Source organism: Homo sapiens, chromosome 13 (genome assembly GCF_000001405.40).
Source record: "Homo sapiens chromosome 13, GRCh38.p14 Primary Assembly".
NCBI lineage: Eukaryota > Metazoa > Chordata > Mammalia > Primates > Hominidae > Homo > Homo sapiens.
In genome coordinates this window covers 29,431,562-29,445,777 of record NC_000013.11, presented here as the reverse complement: position 1 = coordinate 29,445,777, position 14,216 = coordinate 29,431,562, and the positions used below count along the sequence as shown (strand labels likewise).

Genomic DNA, 14,216 nt, shown 5'->3' with positions numbered 1-14,216 from the left:
TGCCACCATACCTGGCTAATTTTTTTTTTGTATTTTTAGTAGAGATGGGGTTCGCCATGGCCAGGCTGGCCTTGAACTCCTGGCCTCAAGTGATCTACCTGCCTTGGCCTTCCAAAGTGCTGGGATTATAAGCATGAGCCACTGTGCCTGGCCAGAATTATATAAACTCTTGAACATGATTCAACGGGCTTCAGGGTTGGTGAGTATACCAAGTGCAGGGAAGATGGTGCACCCAGAGGGCATGGAAACTCCCCACCTCACCCCCTGCCATATACCTTGCTCTATGCATCATTCTAGTGAATTATCAAACCTAAGGAGGCAGTTATGGCAACCTCTGAGTTTATAGCAGATTGGACAGAACCTTGGGTGGCCACTGAGACTTAGGACTGGTTTCTGAGGTGGAGGTGGTCTTGTGGGACTGAGCCCTCAACCTGGGAGTCTATACTAACACTGGGTCCTTAGTGTCAGAACTGAATGGAATCACTGGACACTCAGCTGATGAGGAAGAATTGGCCATCAGTATGGAGAAACCCTCCACACCCCGGGCATCAGAAAACAGCACTCACTAGGGCATGTCCTCAAGGTTTATTTGTAAATCAATTGCCAGGAAATTCCTACTTAAAAACTATTGGAGATTATCTTCCAGTGTGTGAGGACACAAGTCAAGTCTCTGGTAGAGGGCACTATGCAAACTACAGACCTTCTAGAAGATACAGTCGTGATACCACCAGAGATGTCACAAATGGGAAGGTATAAATGGGCAGTGTCTGCAAATGTACTGGGGATTACTTTCCATGCTTAGCTCCCCAAAGTCCATCTAACCAGGAGGGTAGCTGACTTGAGAAGACTGAGTCCCCCAGGCAGACAGGCAAAGGCAAAGGAAGGAGGCGGGAGTGAAGGAAGGGGATATCCTCTGTCATTTCTCAGAAACCAGGCCAGCCTCTGTATAATTTCCAAACAGGTACAATTTGTCTTTTGCATCTTCCTTTTCTGCACTTTTCCCCACCCACCTGTGCCACTCTCCCTTGGCCTGCCTTGCTGCCCAGGGCCCCCCATGATGGGATCCTGCCCTCCTGGGCTTATCCCAAATGATATACTCCCTGCCTCAACCCTGTCCCTGGCCCAAATCAAACTCCCTGTTCCTTCAGTGTAGTTCATTGAATCTCCAACTTCACTGTACTTAATAAGGGGGCTTTAAAAAAAATGGCCCAGGCCTCACCTTCAAATATTTTGATTCTGTTGCCTAGGGCAGCACTGCAGGTGAGTCTAACATGCATCAGGCCTGTGAACACAGACAAAGCTGATTCTGACCAGATGCTAAAGGCTTTTTTTTGTTTGTTTGTTTTGAGACAGAGTTTTGCTCTTGTTGCCCAGGCTGGAGTACAATGGCGCAATCTCGGCTCACTGTCACCTCTCCGCCTTCCGGGTTCAAGCGATTCTCCTGCCTCAGACTCCTCACTAGCTGGGATTACAGGCACCCACCACCACACCTAGCTAATTTTTAATTTTTATTTTTAGTAGAGATGGGGTTTGACCACGTTGGCCAGGCTGGTCTCCAACTCCTGACCTCAGGTGATCCATCTGCTTCAGCCTCCCAAAGTGCTGGGATTATAGGTGTGAGCCGCTGTGCTCAGTCCAGATGCTAAAGCTTTGGATTGCATTTATTCACCTCAGAAGTTGGGACAATGGATGGGTATTTATTAACAGATATTGGTGGAATTTAGGGCAGCAGTTTAATGGATATGAAACAGTTTAAGCAGCAATTTTTAGATTTGGGAGACAGGGCAGCCCTGTTCTGGAATGTGCAATAAATACATCTAACTATTCTGACTTTCTGCACCTTCTTCCCTTCTTCCTTGTCTGAATTCAGAGCCTTAGAAATTCCATCTCCCCCATGTCCCCCCACATCCCTCCACGTCCAGCTCCCATTAGACTCAGCTGACAAGAGCCTTAACTTAGGACAGGACTGGTGCTAAGGGGAAGGGACTGGCCATACTACCCTCTCTGGGCCACCTGTAAGCCAGGTTTGCATGTTCAATGCTCTTCTCCCATCAAGAGAATACACTGCATGTCTAGAAGCCAGAGCTTATGCGCTTTACGGTTGACAGTTGATCCCCACATTCCCCTCCGTCTTTCTTCTCTCACCAATGCAATCTCAGCTGCAGACTGGGTGCTTGCTGCTGAAGTGTGTGCCAGGGATGAAAGCTGGGCTGAAGGAACCAGGCGGTGGTGCTGCCAAGGCCTTCCGCCCTCCCTCCAGTAGCTTTTTCATCTGGCAGGTAATTCTGGTTCTATTCTTGGCACTTAGGCAGAAATCAAATAAGATTTCAACCCAAAACTCAATGTAATCCTTGTGTAGCGCCTGCTGCATTTAGAAGCTTCAGGAAAGCACAGAGAGAAGCAGCCTTGCACTTGGCACACCCGGCACCCAACCCAATTGCATCAGGGGACACAGGGCCCCCAGAGCCAAAGCTTGCCCATGGGGAGTGCAGAAGTCTCTCTAGGGAGAAATTCACCCTGGAGTGGAAATTTCCATCTTTTATCTTTGGTTTCAAGGTGCTACACACCGGATAGTTATGAGAGTCACCTTTACAGACTGCTTCATCGGCATTATCTTCTTTAATTGACTTTCCATTTTATGAAGGGGAACTTGTGGGACAGAGAGGTCTACCAGCTCGCCCCACCTGAACCTAAAGCCCATGCTCAGAACTGCCAAGCCTTGGAACCCCCTAGAAACTCATCTATTTCATAGAGAAGCATACTCTGGGATTGGCTTATAGCATTTCAGGGCTACAGACTTGACAGCCCTCATATAATTCAATGCTTTTCTATCTTAACTAAGACCAACATATCTTGCTAAAAGAGGAGGAAAGGCAGCAGGAGCTATAAATTACAGGGGGTAACACTGCACATTGTTCTAGCTGAACTATAACTCATAAGCATCTTTCAGTTCCTGAGTCTCTGAAGACCCAACCTTCCTCATGCTCAAGTCTCTCGGCCACTGAGGGCAGGGAAGTGTCCTCAAGCCTGTGGTTTGCAAACTGTGTGCTGAGGCACCCTGGGCCACTGCAGCAAATCACAGGGCACTGCAGGGTTTCTTCTATCAATACTTCCGAGGGAAACACACCAATGCTGCCTCCCTGTGCTGGTTTGGGGGATTCAGAGTTTTGACATTAGCTCATCACTAGCTCACACTTCATCCCCTTTCATGATATCATATCTTTGCAAAGCTGAGGTTTTGGCTGCTGCTGTGATAAAAAGTATGCAGTGAAAATCAGTGTGAAACAAGATGCAAGGATAGCCTTATCCAATCAGATGCCAAGGTCTGAGACGTTGTGTGGGGCCCAATCACAAGCAAGTCATTGTGGTTCCTTAAGAATAAAACAAAAATATATTGTTTTCTTTCCATTTATGTTCAGTTTTTCAAACGGCCACAAAGTTGTTAGAACATACACACTTAAGTGGCTTAGACTTACCTCCTTTCTAAATAGAGCTGGGAGGTATTTATTTGGCCTTGATACTGTGAAAAAAAATTACTGAGACACTGTGGTCGCTGTGAATTGAGAATTTTGGAACCTCTACCCTAGGCCTCTGAGCTGCCCCCACAGTGTCATCAGGGGCCATCTCCAAGGGTCTCTACCTCTACAAGGTGGGGAGGGGCAGATTCCAGAAGGGGATGAGGCAAGGTCTCCCAGCTGTCTCCACCTCCACATCCCCTGGGAACTGACCTGAAGGTCAGCAGAGGTGAAACCTGTTCTTTGGCAGCTTCGCTCAGGAGGAGAGGCCTCAGAGTCACCTCCAACTGAGGACAGGCCCTAAAGCCGGTGAGTGGAGAAGGGGGTCTTTGCAGTTCATCAGGTGAGGATTTTTTTGATTAAAAAAAATCCTTTTTGATAAGGTAGTTTCCATCAGTGGGGAAGGAGGCAGAAGGTCCTTTTAAAGGAACCATGGGAGTCATCGAGGAGGATGGCTCCCATGTGTGCATGTGTGTGTGCACACATGTACAATGTGTGCATGCACGGGAGGGCAGCCAATCACATGGGACCCATGGCTCCACGGGTGAAGGGTGGTGAGTCCTTCCTTAGAGAAGAACAGAAACAGTCCCTGGCATTGGGCAGGGTCACCAGTGAGTGTACCAGGAGCTTCCCTTCAGGAAAAAGTGGGGGCCACTCTCAACACGGGTCTTTGAGGCCAGATGTGGGCATCTGGATCATGAGGCGTGGCCACATTGGTGAAGAAACAGATGGGGACACAGAGGCTTCAATCATGGAGGCCTTGGCAATGAGGTCATCACTGCAGCTGTCACTGTGAATGCTGCTTGGGGTGATACCCAACAAATAGAAATTAGGCTCAATCTCCATAAAAACAACAACAATGGCAAAGAGGAAGGATGAGACTTCTCCAGCAAGCGTCTGCGGGGAGTGGGGCCACTTTCTCCCCTCCCGCTCCTCTTTCCAGCCAGGTCACATATGGCTCCCATGGACCTCAGCTTTCCAGGGTTCCTCACACCCTGCCTTTCCTAGCCGACTGTTGGAAGAAGCCTACATCTGGCGTCAACCCCTGGGCTTCTCCTGGTGGGGGAGAAGGGGTGTCCGGGTGTAGGTGTCCCTGCAGCAGTAGCAGGGTCCTGCTGCTCCGGATCACACACTAGCAAGTCTGGGAAGGGGCCTGTTATTTGTTGTTTCCCCACAAGCATCTGCTGTCCTTAGAGAGGAGAAGAGACCATTGCAGACCTACTTTAATGTTAAAAGAAGTCACAGAACTCACAGGGGAGAAAAAGAAAACATTTTAACAAAGGGAGAGAGGAATACAAAGGGTTGGGGAAAGCTATGCTTGGATCTCACTATTCTGTCCACTGCACACCTGAGGGCCTGTGGTCCCTGGGGAAGTTCAGCCTTCTGCCTATCCGCATGGCTGGCTACTTGCCAAGGACACCTGGGATTGCTCCAATCCCTTCACTCACGGAGGAAGCCACACCTGCACATGGTGGGCTGCTCCCAGGACCACACTAGATGGAGGAGGAGTGCTCACTGGTAAAGAGAATAGCGGGCAATAGGAACAGACCATGTGTATTTCAGCTTTGCTGACTGATTCCTGGGGAAAGAGAATAACAGATGGTCGAGAGGGAAGATGGGATCAAGCAATGAGAATATGGCAAATACCTGGTCCTGTCCTTGACCTACGGTGAAAGCCACATCCCCAGGGTTTGGGGATCATTTTATTTGTAAGGTCTCCGTGGTCCAGACTGAACCAAACCGTTTCATCAGCCAAATATTAGAAATTTCAACATGAACTCTCGTATTTTTAATCCAACCAGATTTGTGCTTTTGACCTTGTTCTAGATCACAGAGTATTTCACGACAGGGTAGACAGTGGCAGGAAGCCATGGAACATCTGCATCTTGCAGACAGCACCTCGTTTTATAAGAGGGGACCCAGATAGATCAGTGCAGACTGATGTATGAGCTGCCATCTGCAAATAGCACAGTCAAGACCTGATGAGTTCCACTGTGAACTGTTAGGAAGCTGTCTTTATAACAACGGAGACGTGAAAATTATGGTTCCCCGCTAAGGCTACAGCAGCCCACCACTGTGCTGGGTGAGATACTTCATTCATCTAGGCAGGTTTGCACTGGCTTATTACAGGAGGCATAATTGCTTTTGGTACACATTCACAGGAATCAGGAAAAGACATTCTTTATGCTCCTCATTGTCAATGCCCTACTTACCAACTTCATCCCTGATGTTTGCAAGTTCGATTGACAGCTCTTTTTCTTTCACAAGGGCACTTTCATTCTGAAAAAACAAAAACGGATACCGAGAGTCCCCTAGTTTTATGCTAGATAAGCACTTTCACATGATTAATTAATGAATCGTATTAAGCAAATATTTATAAGTCTAGTCCTTAAGGAGATAATTTTCACATTATATAAGCATGTAAAAACTTACAAAGTCAAGTCTGACTCATTCATTTGTATCCCATTCAAATGGCAAAGCTTGCATCATAATATTAATAATACCCGTGGTTGTGTTTTTGTCTAGATTACACTCCTGTATATCATCCTGCATTAATTCTTTGCAAATTTGTGTCCCACCCATTAATCTATTGCCATATATTATTGTACAGTGTTTATTATTATCACTACTATGAGATTTCCGACCATTAAAAAAGTCTGTGCCATATTTCTCTGAGGGCCAAATGCTTGTTTTACCAACTGTTTTTTAAACTTACCCTTTTGTCCATACATGATTAGCTACTTAATCAATAATAAAGATCAGGGCAGAAGGCTTAGCATGAAACATTTCTCTTTGTAATACCACCAACAACAATATTTAAGGTTTCCAAGTTTTTTGTTCCACTGTCAGCATCAATAGATGAAAAAAGGAAATCTCAGGCTTGAAATACCATTTAGTGCAAAAAATGCCCCGTATAACTAAATGACTGCTAAGTTGTTTTCAAATCAAATACATCCTCTGATATAAAGTAGGGAAGTAGTTGAAGATGTGCTGAATTTGTAATCTGCGTTATTGAGTCACTATAAACAGCATATTATGATTTTATTACTCACAATTACCAGAAAAGATGTGCTATATAAATTCTCTTCAAGTTTGAGATACCAAAACTACAGGCCTTCAAAGAAAGTCTCTGTCATTCTGTAGCATGGACTCTCGAAGCAAAGTGATTTCCGGGGAGGGAATTTTGAGTAAAATGTGGACCGAATACCTAGCATGAGTATCATCGGGGCCTTGAGAATGTTCTTTCTTCCTTAACCACCGTTGCCTTTGGTTTCAGCACCTCTGAAGGACGTGTGTGGAATGTGACCAGACAGTTCTCACAATATTGTTTCTGGTGTGCTGTTTTTAGACGCAGGGAACAAGTGTGCTGCTTTGGGTTGGTGGGAGGGTCTCGGGTTATCCAGAGGGCATTTGCTAAGCTGTGTCATAATATTCATCATGCCAAAAATAAAACTCTATTTCATAATACACTGAGAGCTATTTTCATTGTGGGAGTCAAAAATTATTAGCTAATAGTTTCCTTAAGAAAATGCAGCAATAGATCTGTCCCTGAGGGAAATGGACCCTGCTATAGTCTGAAGGTATGTGTCCCCCTAAATCCCCCTAAAATTCATGTTGAAATCCTCACCTCCAAGCTGATGATATTAGGAGGTGGGGCTTCTGGGAAGTGATCAGGTCATGAGGGTGGAGCCCTCAGGAATAAAATTAGAGGGATCCCAGGGAGCTGCCTTGCCCCTTCCTCCGTGTGAGGATACAGCCAGAAGGTACTAATGTTTACGGGAAAGTGGCCCGCACCTGACACTGAAACTGCTGGAGCCTAGATCTTGGGCTTCCCAGACTGCAGAATTGTGAGAAATAAATTTCTGTTATTTATAAACCACCCAGTTTATAACATTTAGTTACAGCATCCCAAAGACACTAAGACAGACCCAACGGACACCTCCCATCTCATTTCTGAAGTTCTCTCCTTCCATCCCAGCCCATAGCATCCTTGTTTTCCCTGAATTTCAGAGTTAACAACTACATCTGAGAGCATGTATTTTATTGCATAATCCTACTCTGTATCTCAATATTCCTACTCTAATGCTACACCCACTGTGCAGGGTTGTCATGAGGATTAAATTAATGTATGTGATGTAGTTAGTGTCCAGCATTTAGCAAGCTCATACAAGTGTAAGTTGTTATTATATTTCTGTTTCCTTTTATTTCATTTGCAACTGGATAACACCCTATATATAATAGGTGCTTTTCCATATTAATTATCTAAATGCATTTAGAATTTGCATATCAGTCTTATACTTTTTTTTTTTTTTTTGAGATAAGATCTCGCTCTGTCACCTAGCCTGGAATGCAGTGGTGTAATCATGGCTCACTGCAACCTCTACCTCCCAGGCTCAATGTATCCTCACACCTCAGCCTCCCAAGTAGCAGGGACTACAGGTGCATGCCACCATGCCCAGCTAATTTTCTGTATTTTTAGTAGAGACGAGGTTTCACCATGTTGCTCAGGATGGTCACAAATTCCTGGGCCTAAGCAATCTGTCCAATCTGTGGCTGCCACAGTACTGGGATTACAGGTGTGAGCCACCGTGCCTGGCCTTATGCTCTGTTTTTGTAAGCACCTTCCTGGTCTGCCCTGATTTTGCTTAATTTTTGACGTGGTTCAGAGATTGGAGAAGCCAGAACAGGGAACATGTTCTAATCAGACCGATCACAGGGATTACATACTCATTCTAACAGCAGTATAATATGACCAGATGACAATCAATGTGTTCCTGTAGGTTAAGCAAATTTGGTATTTTGGAGAGCACTAATTTTGGTACTGACCCTGAAATAATCTTAACCTAGTGGAAAAACCAACTTGCTTTTACTGTCAAGAATAGTTCTGAATACTCATATTCTCTAATTCCTAAACACGTTCCTAAATAATTATCTAAACACAGCCAGAGAATTGAAATAGTATGCTTATCAGTCCAGAAATAGCATTATACAGTGTTCACTCTCAGAGTAATGAGAGTTGCAAAGACTTAGACTGGGCCAGGCAGTGAACAATCAGAAAATAACAAAAACAACAAATCAACTCTAATTTCTAACTGAAAGCCAACATCTCCCCCAGCTCCCTGTCATGGCCCCTGCTGGACGTTATCAGAGTCATGCCCTAGGGATCTCTCACATCATAACAAATCAGTCCACACTCCCAGCCACAGAAGAATCAGGCCTGTGGGGAAGGAGTGGCTGGAAGGCCCTATGAGAGGGACAGGCCTCTTCGGTATGGCGCTGACTATGAGGGAGACTGCTGATGAAGACCTTCAGACTTGTATCACTTTGGTGAAAACCTAATGCTGATGTTTTGTGGTCAGGCCTTCCCTGTCCATCTGTTGCTTTAGGAGAAACACAAATAAGATTGATGGAAACCAAGTGAGAATGTAAAAAAAAAAAAAAAGCAAGAAAAGAAAGGAAGGAAGGGGATGGGGAGAGAGAGAGGCAAGGAAGTGGAAAGGAGATAGAAGTGAGATTAGAGACCTTGTACCATCTCCATTTGGGGAAGCAGAGGCTATTAAAACAGATCACGAAGACCCAATGAAAATGACCCCATCCACCCTTTTGCAAGTTCAGGCTCTAAAACCAGCCAGTTCCAAACTATAGTCATTAGATGGCTTTTCAAGGAAGGGTTGGCTGCCAAAATAAGCAACAAACCTGATGACTCAAATGTCAAGGAAAATAACTTAACTCTGGCAAGTTCTGGCTAAGTATTATTTACTAATTACTACAGGTGATTCATGCTGTCCACCACCAAACACTCTCTGTAGTCCAGGCACAATGTTAGGTAAGCCCTTTATGTCATTTACTCCTCCAGACACTGTCCAGAGCATCCCGGGTCTTATTTCCCTTTATGGAGGAGGAAACTGGGACTCTATGGTGAAGTGGCTGGCCCCTGCACAACCCACCAGGAAATGGCAAAGGCAGGAGTTTCCACCCATCGTCCACACTCTTCATCAAACACGAGCACACCAAGATTTCCCCTCCTAGCCATGCTTAGATAGATGCAACAACAAGATCCAAATTGCACTGAGCCTCGGCCTGGATCTGAGCACTTATTACCATGAAGCTTTTCATGTCTGACTGGGAGAGAGGCAGGGTCCGCTCCTGACTACTCTGTCTCAATGAAAGAATGCCCTGGCTGCATTCACATCCCACTCCACAGCCTGAACTGCCTGTCTGTGTCCTGGGTGTTGTTTTGTGAGTTGCACATTAGTCTGTTTCCAGCGTCTGGACCCATTTCAGCATCGCTTACTTGGGCTATAACTTCTGAGAGAGTAGTTGTTTAGTTTTCCCCACCAGCTTCTAGAAGGATGCTGTCTGATGACCTCTGAATATGTTGCTGCTGAAGATGCTGGCACAGCTCTGCTCTGGCTCGCTGAGGCCAGCCTGCGCAGTTTGGCGACAGCCCTTCCTCCATAAGTGCTTGTTTTTGAAATGATATCAACTCTTCTAATTTATGAATCCTCTGCATAAAGTAAGTTACTTTTTGCTTCCTGCAAGCCAAACCAGAATGACGTAGTACCACCCTGCAATGAAATGAGTCAATAGCTGTGACTGCAGGAACACTGTTCCTTAGGCAAGAGTGAACTTAAAGGAATCTTCCATTTACTGCTCTTTGCCTCAAAAAGTTATTCCTCCATCCATCAAGGTTCAACAGAATCCAGTGTGATCTTGCAAGGCCCTTAGGTTCTGTTGAACACCCGGGACTCCCTTGGAAAGGATCTCAAGTCATTACTCCCCTCCATTCCCCAAACTATGCCTGGTCTGGGTGATGACACTGTGGGTTGACTGAAATATGATCAAGGCCTCCTCTAAGGGCCCAGGGTTAGATCAGTGCCTCTCTAAATGGGGGATGAGTGGAAAATTCCTAATGAGTGCCAAGTACATGAGCTCCTGTTTTCACTCAAGAGGGCTAAAAATAGAACTCAGTGTTAATCATCCAAACTGTCCTGGTGATATAGTCCAGAAATTGCAAAGCCTAACGAGGCCACTCCTCTAAAATTCTGTTTATTCTATGACAGGCTTCACTGGAAACTGACACTTTAAGAACATTTATCTAAGCCCCAAAACAGCAGCTGTTTCTTCTTAGCTACCTCTTTCATTTGTTCATGTACCGCTCTCCTTTGCACGCTGAGTTCTCCATTCATTCTGGTGTGGTCTATCTCTTATTCACAGATGGAATGCAAGACAAGCTACTCCTATGAAACATCCAACTCACTCCCTGTACATCTTGCCTTAAACATACCCCTGCAAGTCTGCTACAGTGAAGCCTACACTTCTTTTTAGACATGGCTCCCAATCTAAGACTTTTTGCAAACTCGCGGGGATATTGCCTTTCACTTTTCCTTGCTAGAGCAGCCTTGCAAAGCAGACAACCCACTAATCATCCCATTAACCTCAAGCAATCAGATGTGTGGCCAAAGCCCAGGCAAGCCTGCCATACTCTGTTATTTTAACATGTGTGGTCAATGGGCGTTATCTCTTCTGATGGTTGATGCTACCCCGTGAAGCTGGTGGTAATGGGAAGTGAAAACGCCTGTCCTTGTTAGCATCATCCGTGTGATTCTCTGCTTGGGCATCAGCCACCTGTGCCACTCCTCAAATTAGAAACCAACAGAACAGCTATTTACTACTAAAACTGAACGCTGGGTAAATCTGAGGTGCTTTCACCCCAGTTCATCCAGAAATAGGAAATGTATACCAAATAACACATACTCACTGAGTGCCTACTATGTGCCTGGCAGACATTTCTGCTCTCAAGAAGCTTGACGTCCAGAGAGTCAGTAAATGGATGAACAATTACAGAACACTGTGATCTAACCCAGCAGGGCAAGGCTGTCTTGGAGATTTAAACTGAGAGCAGCAGCATATGCAGAGAGCACCCCAGGCAAAATAGCACCTGGGACTTTTTGGGAACCTCTCTCAGCCCATCAGATGGGCCCCTTTTCCCTCTAACTTTCTGCCTCTGGTCTATGAAATTCCCTGCAGGAATTCTTGGTTGGCTACATGGGGTACTGAGGACAATTTCATCAAACTCACTGCAGATTTGAGCATTTTCATCAGCTCCTTCTTCCCCACCTGATTTTTTTTAAAAAAGAAAATACATATATATGTAAATTTAAAAATATACACGTAAGCCCAAAGACTTCCAAATAATCTTTCCTATATTTTTAGCCTGCTCTGAAATCCGTGTGGATCAGGAAAATCCAACCCTGTGAGCTGGGCCATTTTTTCCCAAGCTAAACCATCGAACCACAACAGGAAATTAAATAAGAGAGCTATAGAATTCTGGTATTTGATGAAACCTCCAGATCTTTTAAAATTGTGAATTTAAAAAATTCAAATGTGGCACACATGCACACTAAATTGCAAAAAGGTTAAAGGTTTTTTTACGCTTCTCAGAAACATTATTGCTTTTTTACGTAGGGCTCTATGAGTTTAAATTAGGGTTTAAAATCAACATGGTAGAACTTCATCTTCATAGGAAAACACTCTCTTTTGTATTTCAAAATGAACCAGCTGCAAGGAAACAGCAACAAAATACAAGTATCTGAGTTGTTTTCATACCACCTTTTGTGGCTATCGCACTCGTTTTCAATACTAATACTATGAAGATTGGCCAGATCCATAATATATAATAGCTCTGTGGAAAAATCCCATAGGAGGTGGATTGACCTTTTGTTTTTCATTTCAGTTATTATAGCTTTAAAGCAGCACTGATAGCATGCCTTGAGTTAATCAATAAGTATTATTTCTTCCACATATAATTAACACTAGGGCCTCTGTGTTTTTGTATAATGATCTGCTTTTCTGCTGTGAAATGAAATTTCATATAGGCTTGTCAGAAACAAAGTATCCTTCCCATTTAATACTCTTCAATACATTTCAGTGTCTACTTGTATGAAAAACGAGCAAAGTCATACCGTGTATTAGAAGAAATCAAAATGATTACAAATGCATAATTTCAGCCTTTGCCTTTGTGCATGTGGGGAAGAGTCACTGGGTAAAAAGACATCTAGCTTTCCCAAGAGGCTGTAGTTAATAAGGGAATATCACATCATACCTGGATTACTAATGAACAATGGCAAAGGACAGAGATTAATGGGGCCAAGGAGAAGAAATGCTGATCCAAAGAAGTCATGCTGGGAAATTCTGGTCTCAGAGTAAGTGCAGGAGAAGGGAGAATTAGCCAGTTGCCTGCGTTTTAATCCATTTGTGTATCACTTAAGAAGTTTCTTGATCCTTCTGGATTCTATCTTCCTCTAATAACCCTCCCAAATTTATTACTGTCAGAGCACATACACATACCTGGGAGGAACAGTGAGGTGCCTCTCCCAACTCCCACCCCTGCCAAGAATTTAGAGACAAGGTAAATAAGACTAGCCTCTGAGATTAGAATCAAGGCTAGGGTAGAGATATGCAAATTAACCCCTAAAGGGACAGGACCATACCTAAACCAGCAAGTGTTGCTGTTGGACTGAATCTATAACATGGTCTGAGGAATAACAGGTCCATTACAAGAGGAGTTGGACAGTGAAGGGAGCTTAGGAAAGGCAGTCACCAGGGCCAGGAACATTTCAGGGGAGCGGGGATATGGGAGATGAGCCCAGAAGGCTTTTGAGGCCACCAGATTCTTATAGAGCAACTCGCTGGCTCAGATTCCATTCGCATCAAGGCTTCTTATGAGCTAGACTTTTGACTCTAAAAAGAAATAACATGTTTATCAGGCTTGTTATTGTTTGCTTGTCAGTTATATTTCGTATTGTTAAAAAGGAAGCTCGTATTATAGTTTATACATCTAGTTTATTCCTCTTAATAACTCAACAATTCTAACAATCATCAGCTCAGGAAGGTTATGGATAAGGAGTTTCTGTGCATGTAGAGCTCCTGGCTTCATCCTGGATCAGGTTGAGTCTGTAGGTGAATGGGCCCTTTGGGATCCATCTGGGTCATATCATTCCTTTCAAATACCTGTGGACGAGTCTTTCTACAGACTGCATCTCTGCTCAAAAGCCCAAGATAGATCCCTACTTTTTATTTAGCTCAAGTTTAAAAACCTGGGTCTTTGGCCAGGCATGGTGGCTCACACCTATTATCCCAACATTTTGGGTGGCCGAGGTGGGTGGATCACTTGAGCCAAAAAGTTTGAGACAAACTTGGGCAATATAGCGAGACCCCAGCTCTGCCAAAAAAAAAAAAAAAAAAAAAATAGCTGAGCGTGGTAGTGCACACTTGTGGTCCCAGCTACTTGGGAAGCTGAGGTGGGAAGATTGTTTGAGTCTGGGAGTTCAAGTTTATAGTGAGCCATGATCACACCACTGCACTCCAGACTGGGTGACAGAGGGAGACCCTATCTCAAACAAAACAAAACAAAAAACAAATCAACCAACAAAAAACCTGGGTCTGGCTTTCATGCTGGAAATTTCCCCACACTCCCTATGCACCATATCTCCCACTGTGTTTACCATGAGGTTGCCCCTCTCATGTTTCATAAAATGAGGCTAAAAGACCTTTCCTTATGTGCTCCTTGCTTGGAATACATTCCTTCTCTTTAGTTTAATAAAATTCCACCCATTCTTCAAAGGGTAATTCATGTTCCACTTTTGCCAAGAAACCTTGCCTATGGTTCTAGCCTGACTTCTCCTTTCACTAAATTCC

The 14,216-nt window shown here is 44.4% G+C and overlaps 1 protein-coding gene across 12 annotated transcripts in view, besides 1 other annotated feature; it reads right to left on the bottom strand.

The window, feature by feature from the left end:
• Positions 1-14,216, bottom strand: part of MTUS2 (microtubule associated scaffold protein 2) — a 685,985-nt gene that overhangs the window by 60,170 nt on the left and 611,599 nt on the right. For all 12 annotated transcript variants that reach the window (XM_047430227.1, NM_001384605.1, XM_011535019.4 and 9 more), the window contains one exon: positions 5,729-5,795. In XM_047430227.1, coding sequence (XP_047286183.1) covers positions 5,729-5,795 — 67 coding nt within the window. The remainder of the gene's footprint in view (positions 1-5,728; positions 5,796-14,216) is intronic.
• Positions 11,099-11,198: a silencer, noted in NCBI's record as "silent region_5221". NCBI's record gives its function as "represses an Ori minimal core promoter by ATAC-STARR-seq in GM12878 lymphoblastoid cells {active_cell/tissue: GM12878}" and the evidence as "EXISTENCE:reporter gene assay evidence [ECO:0000049][PMID:35858748]".